Genomic DNA, 26,298 nt, shown 5'->3' on the forward strand with positions numbered 1-26,298 from the left:
ATGCTCTTGATGCACCCCTCTTTTTTCTTTTTGACACAGGGTCTCATTCTATCACCCAGGCTATGTGGAGTGCAGTGGCGTGATCTCGGCTCACTGCAATCTCCACCTCCTGGGCTCAAGCGATCCTCCCACCTTAGCCTCCCAAGTAGCTGGGACCATGCCCAGCTAATTTTTGTATTTTTTTTTTTAGAGACAAGGTTTCACCATGTTGCCCAGGCTGATCTCGAACAGGAGTTCAGCAACCCTTTTATGCCACACTGTAGAGTAATAGGCAACATGGAAAAGTTAGTTTTATATATTATGCAGTGGCATGGACCAATCCAATCACTTTTTTGAAGTGCCAGCCAAACTCTTCTTCAGAGAAGCCTGTTTGAAACCCCCTAGAGTCAAAACCTGGTACCACAGGACAGAGCAGCAATGAGTGACCAACCCCTGACTCTATGTGCAGATGACACATCCATCCCCAGATTAGGTATCAACATAAGTGAAAGGTACTGTCATTGCCTGTCATTTTTTTTTTTTTTGAGATGGAGTCTCACTTTGTCACCCAGGCTGGAGTGCAGTGGCACGATCTTGGCTCACTGCAACCTCTGCCTCCTGGGTTCAAGCTATTGTCCTGCCTCAGCCTCCCAAGTAGCTGGGATTACAGGTGCCCGCCACCACACCCGGCTAATTTTTGTATTTTTAGTAGAGACGGCGTTTCACCATGTTGGCCAGGCTAGTCTTGAACTCCTGACCTTGTGATCCACCTGCCTCGGCCTCCCAAAGTGCTGGGATTACAGGCGTGAGCTACTGCACCCAGCCCATTGCCTATCAGTTTTTATAGAGTGTCGCTTAGATCAAGAAAGAGATGGTAATACAGAGTTAGGTGTGTCTGAAACCAAACACGACCTCATCCTTCTCCCTTGAAGGCCAAATGCACTCTGAGAGTTTGGTTAGAGTACAAACAACGCCACCAACTTCACTCCAGATGTGATTTTCTACAGGAGGCGGGCACTGTGTTGGGATGGCCAGTGAAGGTAAGGAACACTAGAGGTGCAGGTTTAGGTGATGAACAGGACACAGCCTGGACATTATTAGCCTTGACTATGGAGGTGTCTTGATGTTTCTCAAATTGAGACCAGTCTGGCCAACAGGATACTGAACTGGTTTTCGATGGAAAAATTCATCTGTATAGGGATCTATTCGCTTCCTTTAAGTTTCAGTTTCGTTATGTGGCATTTAGCATGAGTGACTCCATTTTGGTCTGATCTGGTTTCTAAGTGCCTAGTGCAGAAGCTCAGTCCAAAACAATGGCCTCCCATAATGTTCATTTTAACATTTTCTTTATACTAATACATTATATCAGGTCACCTCAAATGTCACCTCCACAGAGGGTTCTTCCTCTCACCTCAGTTAGTCCTACTTCTTTCCATTCAGTTTTTTGTTACACTGCACTTTTTAGGATCTGGGAAATCTAATCAAAGTTCACAGGGTTTATTGCTTATTCTTTTTCTTTTTCTTTTTCTTTTTTTGAGACAGAGTCTCTCTTTGTCGCTGCCCAGGCTGGAGTGCAATGGTGTGATCTCGGCTCATTGCAACCTCCACCTTCCAGGTTCAAGCGATTCTCCTGCTTCAGCCTCCTTAGTAGCTGGGATTACAGGCATGCACCACCACACTCAGCTAATTTTTGTATTTTTAGTAGAGATGGGGTTTCACCATGTTGGCTAGGCTGGTCTCGAACTCCCAACCTCAGGTGATCCACTCACCTCAGCCTCCCAAAGTGCTGGGATTACAGGCATGACCACTATGCCCAGCCAGGTTCATTACTTTTTAAAAATCAATCTATGAAAAATTAAATTGGCCAGGCATGGTGCCTCAGAACCTGTAATCCCAGCACTTTAGGAAGCTAAAGTGGGAGGGTCACTTGAGGCCAGGAGTTGGAGAGCAGTCTGGGCAACACAGTGAAACCCCATCTGTACAAAAAATACAAAAATTCGCTGGGCTTGGTGGCGCACACCTGTGGTCCCAGGCTCTACTTGGGAGGCTGAGGTGGGAGAATTGCTTGAGTCCGGAAGATCAAGGCTGCAGTGAGCTCTGTTTGCACCACTGTACTCCAGCCTGGGTGACAGAGGGAGACCTTGTAAAAAAAAAAAAAGAAAGAAAGAAAGAAAGAAAGAAAGAAAGAGAGAGAGAGAGAGGGAGAGAGAGAAAGAAAGAAAGAAAGAAAGAAAGAAAGAAAGAAAGAAAGAAAGAAAGAAAGAAAGAAAGAAAGAAAGAAGAAAAGAAAAGAAAAATCATGTAAATGAAACCAAATTCAGTGATGTTACCTTAACTTTTTTTCTTTTTTCGGGTAGAGACAGGGTCCCACTATGTTGCCCAGGCTGGTCTCAAACTCCTGGCCTCAAGCGATCCTCCTACCTTGGCCTTCCAAAATGCTGGTATTACTGGTGTGAGCCACCACACCTGTCCTACCTTTATTTCTAATAACTGATATGCCTTACATTAAAAAGTCTTTTAGAAAACACCTTTGAGCCATTTTCCAGATAGGGGAAGTCAATGAAGCTCCCTCTTGTGGTGAGGGCGACTTTAACATCCACACATCCTGTCTGGGGGACTGGATTTCTGAGTTGTGCTGAGACTTAAGAGTGGAAAAAAAGTCTACTCTTTTTCCTCTGCTCTCACACAACACGGAATACTTCTGTGACCAAATGCAAATATTTGAGAAGTGTCCCCCACATGCCAAGCAAAGCATCAATTCTGCAACTGACTCCAGCTCGATGTCTTCTAGTTCCAACACTTTCTACCTTTACATAAGGTACAAAACTGCCTCAGAAATCATCTGACCATGTGTCCCGGTTTGCCAGTGATAATCCTTGATAGTACCTGTTGTCCCAACATAGTTTTTCATAGCACCTCATCTTGCCATGGTTATCTGTGTCTGAACAATGAATATGTATGAATACTTTCACACATAAGCAAAATTAGGTTTATTAAATGAAGTTTCCAGGAATGTTCAAATTTCAACACCTGATTTACCTTATCACAAGTTATGGCTGTGCTAATTTCTCCAGGAAATATTCACAGAATATTGAATTTATCATTGTAAGGTGTGGAGCAATGAAGATGCCCAAGAGGCCAGGCGCACACCTGTAATCCCAACACTTTGGGAGGCTGAGGCTGGAGGATCACTTAAGCTCAGGAGTTTGAGATCAACCTGAACAACCGAATGAGACCTCATCTCTACCAAAAATAAAAAACTAGCCAGGCATGGTGGCAGGCACTTGTAGTCCCACCTACTTAGGAGGCTGAGGTGGGAGGATTGCTTGAGTCTGGGAGGTTGAGGCTGCATTGAGTAGCCATCGCACCACTGCACTCCAGCTTGGGCGACAGAGTGAGACCCCGTCTCAAAAAAAGATGGCTAAAACATAATTTTTTTTTTTTTGAGATGGAGTCTCACTGTGTCTCAGGCTGGAATGCAGTGGCACGATCTTGGCTCACTGCAAACTCTGCCTCCCGGTTCAAGCAATTCTCCTGCCTCAGCCTTTCAAGTAGCTGGGATTACAGGCATGCGCCACCATTCCTGGCTAATTTTTGTATTTTTAGTAGAGATAGGATTTCACCATGTTGGCCAGGCTGGTCTTGAACTCCTGACCTCGTGATCCACCTGCCTCAGCCTCTCAAAGTGCTGGGATTACAGGCATGAGCCACCGCGCCCGGCCTGCCTAAATCATAATTTCTATGACAGAATTTCTCATTTACAGCTTCCCCTGAGACCATCTTTCATTTCAGTTAACCCTGCTCCTTGGGGGTTATATGTGAGATAAAAGTGCCATGCTATATCATGTTCCCTGGCTCAGTCCTACACAGCATGTCCTGAAAAATGGGTCTTCAGTCACTGTCAATGCACCAGGGATAGATATACATAGTACTGAGAGCCTCTAAATCTTTAATAAGTTCTGGCTTGGTTAGCTCCCTTACAAGGAAAACCTTGCTGGAGTCCATAGCAGTGTGAGGAAGCCTTGGCCATGCCTCATCCCATTTCCCGCACGCTGGAAGACATCTGCCTCTCTCTCCTGGTGCAGTCGTGCCTTGCCTGGTCTGGGCTCCCCTCCTGCTCTGAGGCAAGCGTATCTCTCCATTGAACACTGAGTCTGAAATGCCCTGCACACACTTGTGATCCCGTGCAGAAGGAAGGAGCAGGGACAGCCCCTTGAATGAGGAAGCTAACAGTGCCTCTTCTAACAATAAGGAGCAAGTCGCCTTGAAATGCAAATATCTGATGACCAGGGCTCAAGGAAGGCGCTCGCTTAGAGAGGCTGTTCGCTTAGAGAGGCTGCTCGCTTAGAGAGGCTGCTCGCTCAGAGACGCTGTGGCCAGAACAAGTCAGACATGATCTGCAGGACCCGGTTACCCAGGGCTTCTGCTGTCACTCAGCACGGAGGAGGCGGGGCCTGGCGCCCCATCCAATCAGGGGTGCTGGGGCGGGGCCCTGTCAACTGTCCATCCGGGGAAGGGGGAAGGGACAGTCGCCCTCCGTCCATTCCTTTAGTGCTGCGCCGACAGCGGTCAGGATCTCGGCTTTCTTGCTTCGAGAGGGACTAGGTGCCTCCACCAGAGCTTCTGTCGCTCTGTAACCTGCACTGTGACCTACACTAGTCGCGGGAGCCACGCAGAGGACGCCGGAACACCCTGGAAGCCGAGAAATGGTGTGTGTGAGGGGGCTGGCGTCCGGGCGACTGGGAGAGGGGCTGGAATCGGCCGGAACCGGCTGAGGCGGGACCCGGGCCTCCACGCGGCGACTCCGGGGTCGTGGACGCGAGTCCCCTCGGTCGCAGGGTGGGGCTGGGCCGGCAGCCGGGACCCCGGGCCTCCTGTCCCGTCCCTTCACGGCGACTGCGGCCCCGGCTCCGGAGCCTAATCTGGGCAGCTCCGCGTCTCCCCACATTATGCGGGGGCCACGGGAGGGATATGGGGGGATCCCGCCTCGGATATGGGGTTTGTTAGAAACAAGTGCCCGGTGCCGCAAAGAAAACCAGCATCTAGGCAGAAAATTCCTCAGCAAAGCAAATTTATTTCTACACAAGGGTGCAGCTTGCGCCAGTCACAAGAGCACAGCGAGCGGGGTAGGGCAGGGGTTTTTCTCCTTAACGCAGTTTCTAGCACTTCTGTGTCCTTTCCTCATTGGCTAGGGTTGGACCTCACAATCTAAACTAACTCGATAGGCTAAGGTTTAAAATTAAATAGGGTCTGGCCAGGCGCGGTGGGTCACGCCTGTAACCCCAGCACTTTGGGAGGCCGAGGCAGGCGGATCGCGAGGTCAGGAGATCGAGACCATCCCTGGCTAACACGGTGAAACCCCGTCTCCACTAAAAATACAAAAAAATTAACTGGGTATGGTGGCGGGCGCCTGTAGTTCCAGCTACTCGGGAGGCTGAGGCAGGAGAATGGCGTGAACCCGGGAGGTGGAGCTTGCAGTGAGCCGAGATCGCACCACTGTACTCCAGCCTGGGCAACAGAGCGAGACAACTGGGCAACTCCGTCACACACACACACACACACACACACACACACACACACACACAAATTAAATAGGGTCTATGAGACGGGAAGGAACAGGGACTGTCCGTTACTAGGCGGGAAGGCGTATCTGGACTTGTCTGGGCGCGGCAAAAGCGGGAAGGTTGTTTACAGAACAGGTAGCTAGGAGACAAGGAAGTCGGTCTCAAGAAACAAAGAACAGCTTACTAAAGCTTTTAGAAAAGTAATTTATCATCTCTGACAGGTTCGTGTGGGAGGAGTAGCGGTCTTTGGGGTCCCCAGTGCCCACTTTTTTCTGTTAAAAATTAAACTGAGGTACGTTAACAATTAAAGAGTTTAGGGCCGGGCGCGGTGGCTCACGCCTGTAATCCCAGCACTTTGGGAGGCCGAGGCGGGCGGATCAGGAAGTCAGGAGTTCAAGACCAGCCTGGCCAACATGGTGAAACCCCATCTCTACTAAAAATACAAAAATTAGCTGGGCATGGTGGCGCGTGCCTGTAATCCCAGCTACTTGAGAGGCTGAGGCAGAAGAATTGCTTGAACCCAGGAGGCGGCGGTTGCAGTCAGCCAAGACGGCGTCACTCCAGCCTGGCAACAGAGCCAGACTCCATCTCAAAACAACAACAACGATTCACGAATGAGAAACACCCAGTCCTGGCTTGTGGTTTGTCAACGGAAAAAGCCAAGCTATGTAAAATAAAGAAGTTTATTAGGAGCCGAATAGGAGAGCCGTTGGCCGAGGGAAACACAACCCCAAGCAGCCTGGAGTAAGTGGTCCCGAGGCAGCTCAAGACAGTTTGGTTTTATTCATTTCAGAGAGACAGGAATTGCAGGGAAAATCATGAATCAGTGCCTGGAAGGTGTAAGTTCCATTGGCAGAAAGGGTGGGACCTGTGGAAGGGGGGTTAGAAGGCACAGGTAGTTGAGGGATTCTGTAGGTGGCAGCTGGTTGAGAGTGTTGAATCTTTGTCTAAAGTTTGGAGGAGGTAGGAAGGAATGCTGAAGGAAGGGGGTCTGTTATCTGCCACTTCATTCCATCCCAGCCAAAAAACAGACCTGTTTCTCGAGATTTTATGAATTCTAAGGCGTAACTTTACCTTTGCCTTGCGTGGCCTTAGGTCTTGTTTGTAATTTGGTATCTTGTTGCCACAAGGAGTCTGTTTTTCCAGTCAGATAATGTCTGTTTTTACATGAATGTGCGTCAGTTGCTGCATGTAAACTCCTAAAGGGAGAGGGTATAAGGAGACCTGTCTCACCTCCCATCCTGTCATACAGAGGCACTCAATTTTCAGGGTTTTTTGGGGGTTCCCTTGGCCAAGAGCCAGTCACTTCACTTAGCTGGGAAGGTACTTTGTTTTTGTTTTTGTTTGAGACAGAGTCTCCTGTAGCCCAGGGTGGTGTGCAGTGGCTCTATCTTGGCTCACTGCAACCTCCACCTTCCGGGTTCAAGCGATTCTCCTGCCTCAGCTTCCCGAGTGGCTGGGATTACAGGCATGTGCCACCACACCCGGCTAATTTTTGTATTTTTAGTAGAGATGGGGTTTCACCATGTTGGCCAGGCTGTTCCTGAACTCCTGACCTCAAGTGATCCACTGGCCTCGGCCTCCCAAAATGCTGGGATTACATGTGTGAGCCACCTCACCAGGCCAGAAGGTATGTTTTTATTTTTAGTTTACAGGTTGAAGGCTGGACTTTTATAAGGTACATGAGGAGACAAACCAGATAAATGCTTGATTGGTTGCAGAGATGCAGTCACCTTATTTGGACTTGTCAACCCGAAATAATCGAAAGTTTCAGATTTCAACTGGAAGAGTTTATTCAAGCAAAAAGATAGCAATGGCCCATTTGGGAAAAACACAGACTCCAGAGAAATGGACTCAGTACTCCAAAATTGGAAGTTAAGTTCTTGCTTATATTACTGGGAAAAGAGGTCCTGATCAGATCCCAAGAGAGTTCTTGGATCTCATACAGGAAGGAATTCAAGACGAGTCGGAAAGTACAGTGCAAAGAGAGTTTATTGAAAGCTACTCTGGGCCAGCATGATGGCTTAGGCCTGTAATCTAAGCACTTTGGGAGGCCGAGGTGGGAGGATCACTTGAGGTCAGGAGTTTGAGACCAGCCTGGGCAATATAGTGAAACCCCATCTCTTCCAAAAATAACAAAAATTAGCCGGGTGTGGTGGCCTGCACCTGTAGTCCCAGGTACTCGGGAGGCTGGATGGGACAATCACTTGAACCCGGGAGGCAGAGGTTGCAGCCCAGCTGAGGACACGCCACTGCACTCCAGCTTGGGTAACAGAGTGAGACCCCATCTCAAAAAACAAAAACAAAACAAACAAACAAGACAGAGTTCAAGACCAACGTGGCCAACACAGTGAGACCCTGTCTCTATTTAAAAAAAAAAAAGGAAAGAAAGAAAGAAAGCCTCTCTTACAGAGTAGGGCATCCTCCTAAAGCAAGTGGAGGAACGTACTGTCTAAGTTTTTCTTATGTAGGGATCTTGTCTATGTAAAAGACTAAACTGAGCTGTGCCTACGTGCATGTGGGCTGACAGCGTCACAAAATTTATTACTCTGTTGATTTAAAGAAAACTATCCTTTACATTTTAGTGCATACAAGTGCATTAAAACATAACTATAATTATCAGGCCAGGTGTGGTGGCTCACGCCTGTAATCCCAGCACTTTGGGAGGCCGAGGTGGGCGGATCACTTGAGATTAGGGGTTCGATACCAGCCTGATGAAACCCTGTCTGTACTAAAAATACAAAAAAAAATTAACTGGGCATGGTGGCATGTGCCTGTGATCCCAGCTACTCGGGAGGCTGAGACAAGAGAATTGCTTGAACTTGGGAGGTGGAGGTGCAGTGAGCCGTGATTGTGCCATTGCACTCCAGCCTGGGCAACAAGAGTGAAACTCTGTCTCAAAAAAAAACCAAAACGAAACAAACAAAAAAAACTATAATTATCTTGAAAGCACATATTATTATGGGTATTGGGACATCAGGACATTCTGTTGTTGTGGGAGTGTAAGGATACTTGCAGGCATCTTCAGGCTGTCTCCTTCATGGGAAACATTTTGTGATCATGGGTTGCGACTGGCAAGGAGTGTTTCTTGTTAGTCTCAAGATGGAGCTGAACTTAAATTGGTGTGTTACTCTGGCTCCCCTAGGCACCTGCTTCCCTAACACTTATATAGGCGAAAGGCAAATAAATATAACAGGATTACATTTTCCATAGAAGGCTGATGTATGAGGTACAACAATTTAATTATTATTATTATTATTATTATAGACAATATCTTGCTCTGTGGCCCAGGCTGGAGCAGTGGTGCGATCATGGCTTACTGCAACCTTGACCTCCCCGGCTCAAGCACCTCCGCCTCCCAAGTAGCTGAGACTATAGTCGCCCACCAGCACACCTGGCTAATTTTTTATTTTTTACAGAGGTGGGGTCCCAATACATTGCTCAGGCTGGTCTCTAGCTCCTGGCCTCAAACAGTCTTCCTTCTTTGGCTTCCAAAATAGCTGAGATTACAGGCGTGAGCCACTGCACCTGGCTAACAACCTAATTCATTATGGTTTTTTTTCCCCCAGAGCTTGTTTTCTTTAAAGCTCGTTTTTATTTCCTTTTCAATTTAAGAGTGAATTTAACATTCCAGCTGAAGACAGTGTGATAGCCATGAAGTCTTTGTGTGAGAAAGTTAAGAGGGAAGTTAGTCTACTACAGAGATCAGTAGTGAAGAGAGGCCCTGTGGGATGGCTCACACCTGTAACCCCAGCACTTTGGGAGGCCAAGGCAGGTGGATGGCTTGATCTCAGGAGTTCAAGACCAGCCTGGGCAACATAGTGAGACCCTCCCCCCCATCTCAATTATGAAAAATCATATTAAATTTTAAAAAAATAGTGATGAGGGAAAGGGTCTTTCCTGTTTTCCCTCAGTCATTTACAACATTTTACAAAACAGTATAGGTAAGAAAGAAGGCGAATCTGTAATCAGGGAAAGGAGGGTTCCAACTGGCTATGTAAAAGCTGTGTGTCAGGTGACTCAACTCCATGATCACATTGCTTAAAGATAATTTAGAGATTAAATTTTTTAATTACTTGTGTTTTGTTTGTTTGTTTTTTTGATTTTTTTTGAGACACAATCTTACTCTGTCACCCAGGCTGGAGCGCGGTGGCACCATCTGGGCCCACCGCAGCCTCTGCCTCCTGGGTTAAAGTAATTCTCCTGCCTCAGCCTCCCAAGTATCTGGGATTACAGGTGCGTACCACCACACTTGGCTAATTTTTATATTATTAGTAAAGGTGGGGGTTTCACCATGTTGGCCAGGCTGGCCTCGAACTCCTGGCCTCAAGTGATCCGTTCGCCTTGGCCTTCCAAAGTGTTGGGATTACAGGAGTGAGCCACCATGCCTGGCCTGACTTACTTGTTCACACAGCCTATATAGGTAGAAGATTTCTAGTCATGTAATCACAGGTTAATTGGTGGATTATGCCTGATTAAGCATAAATTTCATTTCCCTATAAATTAGTAATTTTCAAGTGTTTTATTTAAATTTGATTTTAGTGTCCTTAGGTAGGACCTTAGAATACTACACACAGTTTGGTCTCATTGCTTCTTATTTAAATTTTTTCACACTTTCCAGGGTGAGTGGTTTCCCACTACAATTTCCAAATATACGGGATGCAGGGCCTCAAATCCTCCACCCTCATACCACAGCCTGACTCTTCAAGGGCTTGCAGTGAAATCTGTGTCTGAACATTTCACATGAGAGGAAAGCAGAGAATAACCACTAGACATTTTCCCGAGAAAACCTTTCTGCCTCTCCTCCTTTTATCTTTCCTAGACACAGTCACCTATCAGGATGTCTTTGGGATGAGGTTCCTTTGTGGAAACTTTACAGGGTGATGTGTCTTCCATACACCCTCGTATCCTTTTTGTTTGTTTGTTTTTGAGACAGAGTCTCACTCTGTCGCCCAGGCTGGAGTGCAGTGGCGCGATCTCGGCTCACTGCAAGCTCCGCTTCCCGGGTTCATGCCATTCTCCTGCCTCAGCCTCCCGAGTAGCTGGGATTACAGGCACCTGCCACCACGCCCGGCTAATTTTTTTTGTATTTTTTGTAGAGACGGGGTTTCACCGTATTAGTCAGGATGTTCTCGATCTCTTGACCTTGTGATCCGCCCGCCTCGGCCTCCCAAAGTGCTGGGATTACAGGCGTAATCCGGCCACTGTGCCCGGCCCTACACCCTCCTGTCTTTTCCAGGTTTCGGGTTTTAGAACGGCCTGGGGATGACTCAAAATCCCCACGACTGCCCTGTCTCCTGGAGGGTCTAGTGGCTATCAGTGCCTAGGGGAGTGGAGCCTCCTGAGGGAGCAGCTGAATGAATAATAGTGGAGGAGATGCCTGGTATGCTCTTCATCTACATAACCAATACTTGGGGTGCTCAGCTTCTCTCTCCCAACTCCAGTTTCCATTCATTGGAGACACATGACCGTCAGCCAATTGGATGTTGCTATTGAGGAAAAGGAGAAATGATTCCTATCTTCTGGATTGTCTCATCTCTGAAGAGAGAACTCAGAGAACTCCCAAAAGACAAGGAAAGGCCACTTCAACGGGGTGGAGCAATAGCCTGCAAAGCAAAATATACATGGGGGTACACAGGGGACACAATGCCGTGTTGGTGGGAAATAGTCAATTAGCACTTCTCCTTTCCTCTATGTGAAATGTTCAGAGAATCACCACCAGACACTTTCCTGTCAAAATATGCATGCTTCTCCTCCATTCATCTGTTCTGGAAACAGATTTTATCAGATTGTCTTTTGGTTGAGGCTCCCCTTTGGAAACTTCAAAGGGTGTTATGTCTTCAGCGCACTCTCCTATGTTTTCTTGGTCCTGGGTGGCAGAATTGGGGTGACCTAATATGCCCACAGTTGCCATGTCTCTTGGAGGGTCTAGTGAGTATCAGCCGGAGTCACTCCTCCCAGGGGACAGACTGAGGTAGGAGAATGGGGACTCCCAAGAGAGCAGCTGAATGCCTTGTGATGGAAGGAGACTCCTAGTATACTCTGCATCTAGATAGCCAACCCCTCGAGATGCTCAGCATTTCTTTCCAAACCCCAGTTTCCTGAACTTGGAGACCTATGGCTGGTCAGCCAGTTGGATGGTGCTATTGAGAGAAAAGAGAAATGCTTCCTGTCCTCTGGATTGTGTCAACTGTGAAGGGAGACAAAACCCCAAAAAACAAAGACCACCCCAGCAGGGTGGACCAGTAGCCTGCAAATCAGAATATGAAAGGGGGCACACAGGGGGGTATAGTGCAGTGTTGGTGGAAAGTAGTCATTGAGCGCTTCGGTGAGCAGGATGGGGGTGGAGAGATGTCTCATGTGATAGGGTGACTGTGCTGACACATGAGTCAGACATCACTGTGTTCCAGCCAGCACGGCCCCTCTGTGGGCTTGTCCCTTGTAAAGAATTGTTCATAGATTGCAGCTTGAGTGTTTCAAATTAACTTTACATTGCATTTGTCACTAGAACCAAATCCAAGAATGATTGCGTAGGTCAGTGAGACACAGAAGAGGCAACTCAACAAAGCCCATGACATACAGTGCATGGCTCACAATCCCAGGAGATGAGGGCAGCACAGCTGCAGAGCAACACAGAGTGGGGGGAACATCCAGGATGCACATTCAACCAGTAGGTGGGGAGCAAGACAGACAGGGACCTGTGGGCCAAAGCGTTTCTTGGGGTCTAGGGAATTGACCAAGGAGGTGTCTCTTGGGGAGTTGTTTCTGGTGGATTTAGAGCAAGCAGGCACTAGTTCTGTGAAGTCGCACTGTGATTAAGAGGTGGTCTGTACCATCCATGTGGGGTGTAAGGGTCAGTGGTACAAGTCAAATTGGTTATATCTAGCTGTCCCACAGGGAGGTGGTCACCAGAATGCAGTTGTGTAATAAATATATGTGAGTTGACCACATGGAGGAACTGGGAGAAAGTGGAGAACTAGAAACTCTGTTGAGTTTGAATAAAGTTTTCTTCCGTTATGAGAAAGTTAAATCCTTAAAGAAAATGCATGCTAAGGTAACATATAATTATAAGAACTCAGTATAAGAGGCAACTCTAGAATTAATTAAATTATTGTATATGGAGATGACAGGTAGTGGATTGATTATTCTCCTGTAGATAACCATTTGTCCCTGCTTTTTCTGTTAAGTGTTCACCACTTGTATCATTGGCTGGCAATACCTGGTTTGTCATAGTTTCACATTACCTTAAACAGATGCCCAGACTGGGCACAGTGGCTCATGCCTTTAATCCTAGCACTTTGGGAGGCTGAGGCGGGTGGAACACCTGAGATCAGGAGTTCAAGATCAGCCTGACCAATATGGTGAAACCCTGTCTCTACTAAAAATACAAAATTAGCCAAGCGTGGTGGTACATGGCTGTAATCCCAGCTACTCAGGAGGCTGAAACAGGAGAATCACGAGAACCTGGGAGGTGGAGGTTGTAGTGAGCCAAGATCACACCATTGCTCTCCAGCCTGGGCAACAAGAGTGAAACTCCGTTAAAAAAAAAAAAAAAAGATGCCCTGGTTTCACAATTTGCTTTTTCCATTGGTCTATCTTTGTCTCTCTGATAATACCATTTTCTCTTAATTAGTATAGCATTCAAAGCTGCAGTGTTTAGTGGGTATATTGCCTGTCTATCTTAGTCATCTTGGGCTGCTATATCAAATTACCATAGACTGGGTGACTTAAAGAATAAACATTTCTTTCTGGCAGTTCTTGAGGTTGTGAAGTCCATGTTCAGGGAGCTGGCAGATCTAGTGTCTGGTAAGGGCCCACTTCCTGGTTTTGCAGATGGTCATCTTCTTGTGTTTCTTCATGTGACAGAGGAGAGGAAGCCGGCTCTCCTGTGTCTTCTCATAAGAGCACTAATCTCATTCAGAAAGGATCGACTCTTATGCTGTCATCTAATCCTAATTACTTTTCAGAGATGTCAACTTCTAATACTATATTGGGGGTAGGTTATTAATATGTGATTTTTTTGGAGTGATGCAAATATTCATGCCGTAACACCCCCCCAACCATACTCTATAGAGCATCTTGGCTATTCTTAGTCATTGTGTTATATTTCAGTTTTTAGAAGTAGTTTTTCCTTAATTTTAGTGAAAAAAACAAACTGCCTTGTAAATTTCATGGACTAAAATATAACTGTAGTCATATTTCAGAAACGTTACATCATAGTGCTATTTAATCTCCTTTTAAGGACACATGACATTTTTTCATTTATTTCATTTTATATTGATGTTTTTCAGTGTAGACTTTTTGCATAATAATCATTTTATATCCTTCCTGAGACTTTTTTGGACTTGAAGAAAATTAGTTTTAATAGAAATTAGTGGCTGGGCGTGGTGGCTCATGCCTGTAATCCCAATATTTGGGAGGCCGAGGTGGGTGGATCACCTGAGGTCAGGAGTTTGAGACCAGCCTGACAAACATGGAGAAACCCTGTCTCTACTAAAAATACAAAATTAGCCAGGCCTGGTGGCACATGCCTGTAATCCCAGCTATTCGGGAGGCTGAAGCAGGAGAATCACTTGAACCTGGGAGTCCAAGGTTGCGGTAAGCCAAGATCACACCACTGCACTCCAGCCTGGGCAACAAGAGTGAAACTCCATCTCAAAAAAATAAAAAAAAAATGAAGAGATTATTCCAGTGTCGGCAACATGGCAAACTTTGCCTATACAAAAAATTACCTCGTCATTGTGATGTGTGCCTGTCGTCCCAGCTACTCAGGAGGCTGAGGTAGAAGGATCTGTTGAGCCTAAGAGTTCGAGGCTGCAGTGAGCTATGATTGCAACACTACACTCCAGCCTGGGCAACAGAATGATACCCTGTTTCAAAAAAAAAAAAAAAAAAAGAAAAGAAAAGAAAAAAGAAAAAAATTAGTTTCAATAGGATATGCTGTCTTTTAAAAATTACATTCAGCAACTTGTTGCTGATAATTAAAATTCGCTGAGATTTATTTCTGTATAGAGTGTGCATTCTAGAAACTTACTAAAAATATTATGTATGCACAAAATACATAAAAGAATTGCACAATGAATTCAAATAATGATGGAACCAGTATTGGGAATAAGATAACTGCCTTACTTTTCCTTATACTTTCTCAACCTGGGTATGCATCCTCATCAGTGTGTTTTATTTTTGCATGTTTTTTATGCAAATGATAACCGATATGTGATATTTTATATCGGATTTTATTTTAACTCAGTTATGAACCTTATATGGAATGATAGTTAATTCACTTTCTTATTTAATGGATTTTATTATTTAGAACAGTGGTTGTTTCCCCAAAACATTGGGCAGATAATCCACAGAGTTCCAGCATTTTTATTCCAGGCTCATAGTTCCCCCCACCACCCTTTTTTTTTTTTTTTTTTTGAGATAGAATCTTGCTCTGTTGCCCAGGCTGGAGTGCAGTGGCATGATCTCGGCTCACTGCAACCTCCGCCTCCTGGGTTCTAGCAATCCTTCTGCCTCAGCCTCCCGAGTAGCTGGGAATACAGGCGCACACCACCACACCCAACTAATTTCTGTATTTTTTAGTAGAGAGAGGGTTTCACCATATTGACCAGGCTGGTCTCAAACTCCTGACCTTGTGATTCGCCCACCTCAGCCTCCCAAAGTGCTGGGATTACAGGCGTGAGCCACCGTACCCAGCATAGTTCCCCCTATTCTAAACATCTTGACTGGCCAGGTGCTGAGCCTTATACCTGTAATCCTACCACTTAGGTAGGCCAAAGCAGCAGGACAGCTTGGACTCGGGAGTTGGAGGCCAGCCTAGGCAACATAGCAAGACCCTGTTTCCAAAAATAAAAAAAATAAAAAATAATAAAAAATAAAAAATAAAAACTGTTTGAAACCAAAGAAACCATATTGACTTTGTGTAGTGTATCCTGCAACTGATGCAAGAATATATTACATGTGAACATGATGGAAATTGAAGAAGCCAATGTTATTATTACCTAAAGTCCATCTTTTACATTAGGCTTCACTCTTTGTGTTCTGTGGTTTAAGACAACTATGTGTCATGTATCCACCATCACAGTCTTATAGAGAAGTGTTTTACTGCCCTCAAAATCCCCTGTGCTCCTTCTAATCATACCTCTCCCCTCCCTCTTTTGCCACCCCTATTTATCCCTGGCAACAAATGATGATGTTCCTGCCTCTAGAGTTTTGCATTTTCCAGAATATCACATATTTGGAATGATACTGTAAGTGGCCATTTCAGACTTGCTTCTTTCATGTAAAAATATGCTTTGAAGGTCTCTAAATACCTTTGTTGCTTGACAACTCATTTATTTTTTATTTTTCTTTCTTTATCTAAAGATTTTTGTTTTGTGAGAGACAGGGTCTCAAACTCCCCAGCTCAGGTGATCCTCCCGCCTCAGCTTCCCAAAGTGCCTGAATTCCACTTGTGAGCCACCATGTCCGGCCACTGATTTTCTTTTTTTTTTCTTTTCTTTTCTTTTCTTTTTTTTTTTTTTTGAGACAGAGTTTCACTCTTCTTGCCCAGGCTGGAGTTCATTGGTGCAATCTTGGCTCACTGCACCCTCCACCTCCCAGGTTCAAGCAATTCTCCTGCCTCTGCCTCCCGAGTAGCTGGGATTACAGGCATGCACCATCACGCCCGGCTGATTTTGTATTTTTAGTAGAGACGGGGTTTCTCCATGTTGAGGCTGGTCTCGAACTCCTGACCTCAGGTGATCCACCCGCTCGGCCTCCCAAAGTGCTGGGATTACAGGCGTGAGCCACCGCACGCGGCCAGGGCCACTCATTTTCTTTCATCACTGAATAACATTCTATTGTACGGATGTTACCATAGTTTGTTTCTTTATTCACCTGTTGAAAGGCTCATCTTGAGCCTGGTGTCACGCCTCATCCCTGAGTTCCCAGCACATGGGAGACTGAGATGAGATTGCTTAAGGCCAGAAGTTAGAGAACAGCCTGGTAGATACCGTGTGAGACCTTATCTATTTTTTTTTTTTAAGACTCACCTTGTTTGATTCTAGTTTTTGGCAGTTATGAGTAAGGCTGCTAAAAACGTTTGTGGGAGGACTTTCGTGTGGACATCAGTTTTTAGTTCATTTGAGTCAATATGTAGGAATGAGACTACTGAATCAGTAAGACCATGCCTATTTTCTTCAGAGCTCCGCAGACTGTCTTCCAAATTGGCTGTAGAATTTTCCATTCACATCCCTAGTGAAGGAGAGTTCACTGTCTCCAGCATTTGGAAGTGTCAGTGTTTTGGATTTTAGCTACTCCACCAGGTATTTGCTGGTGCTTCATTGTTGTTTTCCTTTTTTAATTTTTTTTCCTTTTTTTTTTTTTTTTGGAGACAGAGTTTCAAATCTTGTTGCCCGGACCGGAGTACAATGGTGCGATCTCAGCTCACTGCAGCCTCTGCCTCCCGGGTTTAAGCGATTCTCCTGACTCAGACTCCCGAATAGCTGGGATTACAGGTGTATGCTGCCACACATGGCCACTGTTTGTATTATTAGTAGAGACAGAGTTTCACTGTGTTGGCCAGGCTGGTCTCAAACTTTTGACCTCAGGTGATCAACCTGCCTCAGCTTCCCAAAGAGCTGGATTACAGGCATGAGCCACTGCGCCCGGGCTGTTTTCATTTGCTCTTTAATAACATGTAATGTAGAGCATCCTGTCATATGTTTGTTTGCCATAATTACATTCTTTAGCGGGAGGTATACTTGGAAAGATTGGGCTTTTTTTTTTTTTTGAGACTGAGTCTGGCTCTGTCACCCAGGCTGGAGGGCAGTGGCGTAATCTTGGCTCACTGCAACCTCTGTCTCCCGGGTTCCAGTGATTCTCCTGCCTCAGCCTCCTGAGTAACTGGGATTACAGGCTCATGCCACCAGGCCCGGCTAATTTTTGTATTTTTACTAGAGACGGGGTTTCACCATGTTAGTCAGGCTGGTCTCAAACTCCTGACCTCGGTGATCCACCCGTCTCTGCCTCCCAAAGTGCTGGGATTAAGGCATGAGCCACCGCACCCAGCGTTTTGCTTATTTTTTGATTGGTTGGTTTTTTTCTTATAGAATTTTAGGAGTTCTTCATACCTTTTGGGTACCAGTTCTTGATCAGATAGCTGTTCTGCAAATATTTTGTCCCAGTCTGCCGCCTGTCTTTTTATTCTGTTAACAGTCTTTTCCAAAACATTTTTGTTTTGAATGAAGTCCAATTTATTGATTTTCTCATTCACAGATCATGCTTTTTGTGTTGTGTGTGAAATCTTATTGCCAAATCAAGGTCGTCTTGGTTTTGACAAGTGTGAAATTGTGAGTTTTGCATTTTCCATATAAGTAAACGATTCATTAGGAAGTAGTTTTGTAAAAGGTGCAGTTCTGTGTCTAATTCATTTCTTTGCATTTGCTAATTCAGGTGTTTCAATACCATTTGTTTTGTGCCACCATGTCTAATTTTTTATTTTATTATGGAGACGGGTATCTCCTTATGTTGCCCAGGCTGGTCTCGAACTGCGGGGCTCAAATGATCTGTCCGCCTTGGCCTCCAGCTTGCATTTTTAATACACGTCTTTATAGTAGATTTTTCTGTGTTCCTAGTGCCTCTCTTGTCATCTTATGGAATCTTCTCTTATATATTTAGTTTATTGAGTGTTTCTAATCATCAGGAGATATTAACTTATTTATGCTGGAGGTTGCACTTTTTTGAATTGCCGACGTGTGAAAAATCAGACTTTGGCCATGACCTTGAGCAGTAGGATATAAATAACTCCCACATGCTTAGCGTTCCAAAAATGGAACACTAGGCATAAATTGGTTAAGGCTTGTCAGATGCCTTTTCTGCCTCTATTAAGGACATTCTTGTGGTGTTTTGTTTGTTTGTTTAAAGATAGAGTCTCACTCTGTTGCCCCGGCTGGAGTGCAGTAGCGCAATCTCGGCTCACTGCAACCTCTGCCTCCCAGATTCAAATGATTCTCCACGTCCCAGTCAAGTGACTGGGACTACATGTGCCACCACGCCTGGCTAATTTTTGTATTTTTTAGAGATGGAGTTCCACCACGTTGGCCAGGCTGGTCTCAAACTGCTGACCTCAAGTGATCTTCCCACCTCAACCTCCCAAAGTGCTGGGATTATAGGCATGAGCCACCATGCCTGGCTGCTACCATGATTTATTATCATTACTTATCTTAAAACAAAATGTAAAACTTATCAGCTTAAGAAATTTTACATGTACAGTTGAGATAGTTTGACAAATCTACATAAGTTCTCTAAGATGAATTCTATTGTATTTTGCTTTTTTCAATTATCCCGAGGTGTCATGCATGTTGTAGTTTAGTCCAAGATGTTATTTTTTCTTTTTCTTTTTTTTTTTTTTTGAATCAAGTTTCACTCTTGTTGCCCAGGCTGGAGTGCAATGGTGCAATCTTGGCTCACCACAACCTCCACCTCCCAGCTTCAAGCAATTCTCCTGCCTCAGCCTCCTGAGTAGCTGGGTTTACAGGAAAGCGCCATTACACCCGGATAATTTTGTATTTTTAGTAGAAATGGGGTTTCTCCATGCTGGTCAGGCTGATCTTGAACTCCAACCCTCAGGTGATCTGCCTACCTTGGCCTTCCAAAGTGCTGGGATTACAGGCATGAGCCACCACGCCTGGCTAAGATGTCATTTTCTAAGAGTAAATAATATCCCATTTTATGTATATGCTTACCACATTTTGTTTTTACATTCAGCCATCAATGGATATGTGGGTGGCTGCATTGCTCATTACTGCCACCTCAGGAAGGTCGTATAGTGGTTAAATCTGTGCTTATGATACCTGGGTATCTCTTAGGAGTTTCTTGTTTGCCCTCTTGTGTACATACGGTGCCAGGTTTTGCTTAGGAATGTCCCCTTTGCCCTATCAGCATCTATCTAGCTACATTCTGACAGGATAACTGCAAAGTGAATGATTCCTGGGCATCATAATGGAAGTTTCTTTCTACCTAGGTGATTCCCCTCCTCTCTGCTTATATCTAGCATGCCTGATTTGGGTGGTCCCTGGGGGTGTGGGATTTCCCAGGGGCTCCCCCTCCTGCTCTTTGCTACCTACATGCTTCCTCTGACAATATCATCAAAGATTACACTTTGAGAACAGGCATTTTCAAGGATACACAGCCTCAGGACTGCTAATGTTAACTTTGTTTTGCCTATGAATTCGTAGGACTCTATCATGACAGGTGCTACAGACCCACAGTCCAAAGAGACATTAGGGACAGCCCAGGCAACCCGCTTTTCTCCCTGGGTTCGGTAAATACATTTCCTATCCTGCTGTGGCTTTAGCCCTTGTTCAGTTCTAGCATCACAATTGCTTTATGAACTAGCCAGGTGTGGTGGCACATGCCTGTGGTCTCAACTACTCAGGAGGCTGAGGCATGAGAATTGCATGAACCCAGGAGTAAGAGGTTGTAGTGAGCCAAGATGGTGCCACTACACTCCAGCCTGGGTAACAGAATGAGACGCTGTCTTAAAAAAAAAAACAACTGCTAGCTGGGCATGGTGGCTCATGCCTGTAATCCCAGAACTTTGGGAGCCTGAGGCAGGCAGATCACCTGAGGTCGGCAGCCTGACCAACGTGGAGAGACTCTGTCTCTACTAAAAATACAACATTAGCCAGGCATGGTGGCATATGCCTGTAATCTTAGCTACTCAGGAGGCTGAGGAAGAAGAAGTGCTAGAACCCCGGCAGTGAGCCGAGATCATGCCATTGCACTGCAGCCTGGGCAACAAGAGTGAAAAAAAAAACAAGTTGCTTTGTGGAAGAAAGTAAGTATACACAGGGAGAAAGAGATCTGATGACCAAAGCAGGGAATACGTGTTTGGAGTCCACGGCATCCTGAGAACTTCTTGGGAATAGAGTCTAGGCCCCCAGTGCTGTCACTCTCACCCATCTTCTTCTACACATGTGAGATGTTTCAGGACCCAGTGGCTTTTAAGGATGTGGCTGTGAACTTCACCCAGGAGGAGTGGGCTTTGCTGGATATTTCCCAGAGGAAACTCTACAGGGAAGTGATGCTGGAAACTTTCAGGAACCTGACCTCTTTAGGTAAGGATGACAATATTCCTTCCCTCAGTCCATTAGTGAACCAGTGTTTCTAGCTCATTAATGCTGTTGAGTGATTTAGAACATAGACAGGAAATACTTTGATGAATAAATGAGGTATGGCTGCAGTAAATCATGGGCGTAGAATCTAATAATTTTTTCACAATTTTATACTGCCTCAGGACTATTTTTTCTGTGTCTGTATTTTAGGAAAAAGGTGGAAAGACCAGAACATTGAATATGAGCACCAAAACCCCAGGAGAAACTTCAGGTAATTTGTACTTACAAGACAAAGCAGTGTCTCTCTAGACAATCTTAGAATATGACAATATATTAAAAATAAGTAAAACAAAGAACTAAGTCCAGGATCAAATTCATTTATTTTTAGAATATTTGATCAAAAAACATATATGTAAATGTGACCTAGGCTGTGGGCTCACTCCTGTAATCCCAATCCTTTGAGAAGTGGAGATAGGAGGATAGCTTGAGGCCAGCAGTTCAAGAACAGCCTGGGCAACATAACGAGACCACATATCAACAACAGCAAAAAATTAGCTGGGCATTGTGGTCTGTAGTCCCAGCTACTCAGGAGGCTGAGTGAGGCAGGAGGATCACTTGAGCCAGTAAAGGCTGCAGTAAGCTATGGTGATATCACCACACTCCAGTGTGGGCAACAGGATAAGACCCTGAAACAAAAGAAAAATGACACAGAGTATTTAGTATTTTAAAATAGTTTACATGGGAAGAGTATTAAGATACCCCATATAAACAGTTTTTTAAATAATAGGTATGGCTGGGTCACCTTGTAGAATATGTTGTCCAGTCACCTTCAAACAATTCAGACAGGGCAGAAAGCCTACACTTTGATGGAGAGTGTTAAAAATGCAAGTGCAATACTTGTTGATTAATATAGAAGTACTTATAAACAAACCCTTCATAATATGCTTCTCATTTTTGACAGGAGTCTCATAGAAGAAAAAGTCAATGAAATTAAAGATGACAGTCATTGTGGAGAAACTTTTACCCCAGTTCCAGATGACAGACTGAACTTCCAGGAGAAGAAAGCTTCTCCTGAAGTAAAATCATGTGAAAGCTTTGTGTGTGGAGAAGTTGGCCTAGGTAACTCATCTTTTAATATGAACATCAGAGGTGACATTGGACACAAGGCATATGAGTATCAGGAATATGGACCAAAGCCATGTAAGTGTCAACAACCTAAAAAAGCCTTCAGATACCGCCCCTCCTTTAGAACACAAGAAAGGGATCACACTGGAGAGAAACCCAATGCTTGTAAAGTATGTGGAAAAACCTTTATTTCCCATTCAAGTGTTCGAAGACACATGGTAATGCACAGTGGGGATGGACCTTATAAATGTAAGTTTTGTGGGAAAGCATTCCATTGTCTCAGATTATATCTTATCCATGAAAGAATTCACACTGGAGAGAAACCATGTGAATGTAAACAGTGTGGTAAATCCTTTAGTTATTCTGCTACCCATCGAATACATAAAAGAACTCACACTGGAGAAAAGCCTTATGAATATCAGGAGTGTGGGAAAGCATTTCATAGTCCCAGATCCTATCGTAGACATGAAAGGATTCACATGGGAGAAAAGGCTTATCAATGTAAGGAATGTGGAAAAGCATTCACGTGTCCCCGTTATGTTCGTATACATGAAAGGACCCACTCTAGGAAAAATCTCTATGAATGTAAGCAGTGTGGGAAAGCATTATCCTCTCTTACAAGTTTTCAAACACACGTAAGATTGCACTCTGGAGAAAGACCTTATGAATGTAAGATATGTGGAAAAGACTTTTGTTCTGTGAATTCATTTCAAAGACATGAAAAAATTCACAGTGGAGAGAAACCCTATAAATGTAAGCAGTGTGGTAAAGCCTTCCCTCATTCCAGTTCCCTTCGATATCATGAAAGGACTCACACTGGAGAGAAACCCTATGAGTGTAAGCAATGTGGGAAAGCCTTCAGATCTGCCTCACACCTTCGAGTGCATGGTAGGACTCACACTGGAGAGAAACCGTATGAATGTAAGGAATGTGGGAAAGCCTTCAGATATGTGAATAACCTTCAAAGTCATGAAAGGACACAAACACACATAAGAATACACTCTGGAGAAAGACGTTATAAATGTAAGATATGTGGGAAAGGCTTTTATTGTCCCAAATCATTTCAAAGACATGAAAAAACTCACACTGGAGAGAAACTCTATGAATGCAAGCAACGTTCAGTAGTTCCTTCAGTAGTTCCAGTTCCTTTTGATATCATGAAAGGACTCACACTGGAGAGAAGCCCTATAAATGCGAGCAATGTGGGAAAGCCTTCAGAGCTGTGTCAATCCTTTGAATGCATGGTAGGACTCACCCTGAAGAGAAACCCTATGAGTGTGAGCAATGACGGAAAGCCTTCAGATCTGCCCCACACCTTTGAATACGTGGTAGGACACACAATGGAGAGAAGCCCTATGCATGTAAGGAATGTGGGAAACCCTTCGGATCTGCCCAGAACCTTCGAATTCATGAAAGGACACAAACACACATAATGCACTCTGTAGAGAGACCTTATAAATGTAAGATATGTGGGAGGGGCTTTTATTCTGCCAAGTCATTTCAAATACATGAAAAATCTTACACTGGAGAGAAACCCTATGAGTGTAAGCAATGTGGGAAAGCCTTTGTTTCCTTCACTTCCTTTCGATATCATGAAAGGACTCACACTGGAGAGAACCCCTATGAGTGTAAGCAATTTGGGAAAGCCTTCAGATCTGTCAAAAATCTTCGATTTCATAAAAGGACACACACTGGAGAGAAACCCTGTGAATGTAAGAAATGTAGAAAAGCATTCCATAATTTCTCTTCTTTGCAAATACATGAAAGGATGCACAGAGGAGAGAAGCTCTGTGAATGTAAGCATTGTGGGAAAGCATTCATATCTGCCAAGATCCTTTGAATACATGCAAGAACACACAATGGAGAGAAACCCTATGAATGTAAAGAATGCAGAAAAGCATTCAGCTTGCCTACTTCCTTTCATAGACATGAAAAGACTCACACTGGAAGGAAACACTATGAATGCAAGCAATGTGGCAAAGCTTTCACTTCTTCCAGTTCTTTTCAATATCATGAAAGAACACACTAGGGAGAAACCCTATCAATGTAAGCAATGTGCAAAAGCCTTTATTTCTTCCACTTCTTTTCAATATCATGAAAGGACTCACATGGGAGAGAAACCCTATGAGTGTATGCCAAGTGGGAAAGCCTTCATTTCTTCTAGTTCCCTTCAATATCATGAAAGGACTCACACTGGAGAGAAGCCCTATGAATATAAGCAATGTGGGAAAGCCTTCAGATCAGCCTCGCACCTTCAAATGCATGGAAGGACTCACACTGGAGAAAAACCCTATGAATGTAAGCAGTATGGGAAAGCGTTCAGACCTGACAAGATTCTTTGAATACAGATAATGAATGTAAACAATTAACTGTTTATAATAACTGTATACTAACAAATGATATTCTTTTTAAATAAGAAGCTATAATATCCCATTGGTGTCATGTATTAGATCAGCCTTATACTGTTAAATTGTTATTATTTGGACATTGTGAGTCAGTATAACCATGTGGATAAAATGCCAGACATCTTTTTATTCGAAAATTTTACTTTTCATGCTTCTGTACTTACATTTTTATCTCAACCTTAATTTTTCTTTCTTTTTTTTTTTCCCCCAGAAAGAATCTCACTCTGTCACCCAGGCTGGAGTGCAGTGGCATGATCTCAGGTCACTGCAACCTCTGCCTCCAGGGTTCAAGCAATTCTCCTGCCTCAGTCTCCTGAGTAGCTGGGACTACAGGCATGCGCCACCATGCCAGGCTAATTTTTTGTATTTTTTAGTAGAGACGGGGTTTCACCATATTGGCTAGGCTGGTCTCAAACTCCAGACCTCATGATTTACCCACCTCGGCCTCCCAAAATGCTGGGATTACAGACATGAACCATCATGCCCAGCTGCAACCCTAATTTTTCATTCAGTCATAATACCAATAGTTATCTCATGCACCTCTGAGTGCCTTCTTCCCCAAAACCAGCAGTGCCATACCTGCTGTCAGCAAGGGTGTAATATACCATAGTGATAAATATGACCAAAAGCCATAAATGACTGTGAGATGTATGAGAATTACAAGTCACATTAGTAAGAAGAGAAAAATTTTGGTCATGTTTATGATTTGAAATACGTTTTCCTCTATCACATTTAAAAATATAGTTACAAAATGCCCTTGTTTTTGTCCTGATTCATCATGGTCACTGAGGAGCATCGTCTCATATGCCTGGTATGTGACACGTGTCTCTCCAACAATAAAAGACTTGGCCTTGGCTGGGCATGGTGGCTCACGCCTGTAATCCCAGCACTTTGGGAGGCCGAGGTCAGGAGTTAGAGACCATTCTGACCAATATGATCAAACCCCGTCTCTACTAAAAATACAAAAGTTAGCAGGGCGTGGTGGCATGCTCCTGTAATCCTAGCTATTCAGGAGGCTGACATAGGAGAATTGCTTGAATATAGGAAGCAGAGGTTGCAGTGAGCCGAGGTTGCACCATTGTACTCCAGCCTGGGCAACAAGAGTGAAACTCTGTCTTAAAAAACACAAAAAAAGACTTGGCCTTAGGGCCGAGTGCGGTGGCTCACGCCTATAATCCCAGCACTTTGGGAGGCCGAGGCGGGCGGATCACTAGGTCAGGAAATGGAGACCATCCTGGCCAACACAGTGAAACCCAGTCTCTACTAAAAAATACAAAAAATTAGTGAGGCGTGGTCTCAGGCTCCTGCAGTCCCAGCTACTTGGGAGGCTGAGGCAGGAGAATGGTGTGAACCTGTGAGGTGGAGCTTGCAGTGAGCCAAGATCGCGCCATTGCACTCCAACCTGGACGACAGAGCAAGACTCCATCTCAAAAAAAAAAAAAAAAAAAAAAAGACTTGGCCTTGTGGTGAGGGGAGGGCATCTGTAAACTCCTGGACCTGTTTTTGCCTTACTTATTCTCTAAAGACTAAAATATTTCCTAAAATGTACAGGCACTGTTTACCAGAAAGTACCTTAGTTAAAACATATAAATTTGTTTATGCCTTATAAAGCTATATTTTTTCAAATTGCTTTACTGAGTCATAGGAGGCTAATAAATTTGTGTAAATTGTCTAAATACAAGCCTGTCTTATATTTCTCTGATAATGTGCTGCTGATAATGTGCTGCTGAGGCTAACTTTCTCTGATAATGTGCTGCTGAGGTTAACTTGTCAACAGCCTGCTTATCTCAGCAGTGTAAAGTTAACAGCAACATGGAAAAGTTTCTTTTATATATTATGCAATGGCATAGAGCAATTCAGTCACTTCCTTTAAGGTTCCAATGAAGCTGCTCTTTAGGAACGCTTATTTCAAACTCCCTAAGGTCAAAATCCAGGCACCACAAGATGCAGCATCAGCCACTGACCAAACCCTGTCTGTGTGTGGAGATGACACACCCAGTCCCAGATAATGTATCCACACCAGTGAAGGGTGGAGTCGTTGATTGTCAGATCACACAAAGTGACTCAGAGCAGGGAAGACAGGGCAGTGAAACCTGATCAGGCACAGTGGCTCACACCTGTAAT

At 44.5% G+C, this 26,298-nt stretch overlaps 1 protein-coding gene across 4 annotated transcripts, besides 3 other annotated features; it reads left to right on the forward strand.

Annotated features, from left to right (window-relative positions):
• Positions 2,502-2,611: a silencer, noted in NCBI's record as "silent region_10132". NCBI's record gives its function as "represses an Ori minimal core promoter by ATAC-STARR-seq in GM12878 lymphoblastoid cells {active_cell/tissue: GM12878}" and the evidence as "EXISTENCE:reporter gene assay evidence [ECO:0000049][PMID:35858748]".
• Positions 4,346-4,425: a silencer, noted in NCBI's record as "silent region_10133". NCBI's record gives its function as "represses an Ori minimal core promoter by ATAC-STARR-seq in GM12878 lymphoblastoid cells {active_cell/tissue: GM12878}" and the evidence as "EXISTENCE:reporter gene assay evidence [ECO:0000049][PMID:35858748]".
• ZNF440 (zinc finger protein 440) lies at positions 4,511-25,454 on the forward strand. 4 transcript variants are annotated; one of them, XM_047438145.1, is made up of 4 exons: positions 4,511-4,688; positions 17,805-20,647; positions 20,855-20,915; positions 21,606-25,454. In XM_047438145.1, the coding sequence occupies exons 2-4, from the start codon at positions 20,512-20,514 to the stop codon at positions 23,200-23,202; spliced, it is 1,794 nt and encodes a 597-aa protein (XP_047294101.1). In that variant the 5' UTR covers positions 4,511-4,688; positions 17,805-20,511; the 3' UTR covers positions 23,203-25,454. The 4 variants fall into 4 exon arrangements, with proteins under 4 accessions (XP_047294101.1, XP_005259788.1, NP_689570.2 ...); XM_005259731.5 differs by having other exon boundaries at positions 20,512-20,647; NM_152357.3 differs by having other exon boundaries at positions 20,521-20,647.
• Positions 4,846-4,915: a silencer, noted in NCBI's record as "silent region_10134". NCBI's record gives its function as "represses an Ori minimal core promoter by ATAC-STARR-seq in GM12878 lymphoblastoid cells {active_cell/tissue: GM12878}" and the evidence as "EXISTENCE:reporter gene assay evidence [ECO:0000049][PMID:35858748]".
• Positions 25,455-26,298: the final 844 nt, after the last annotated feature.

This window comes from Homo sapiens, chromosome 19 (genome assembly GCF_000001405.40).
Source record: "Homo sapiens chromosome 19, GRCh38.p14 Primary Assembly".
Lineage (NCBI taxonomy): Eukaryota > Metazoa > Chordata > Mammalia > Primates > Hominidae > Homo > Homo sapiens.

Coding starts and splice junctions, on each gene's coding strand:
- ZNF440 (XM_005259731.5), top strand. Junction 20,648..20,854: donor CAGGAACCTGACCTCTTTAG/GTAAGGATGACA, acceptor TCTGTATTTTAG/GAAAAAGGTGGAAAGACCAG. Junction 20,916..21,605: donor AACCCCAGGAGAAACTTCAG/GTAATTTGTACT, acceptor CATTTTTGACAG/GAGTCTCATAGAAGAAAAAG.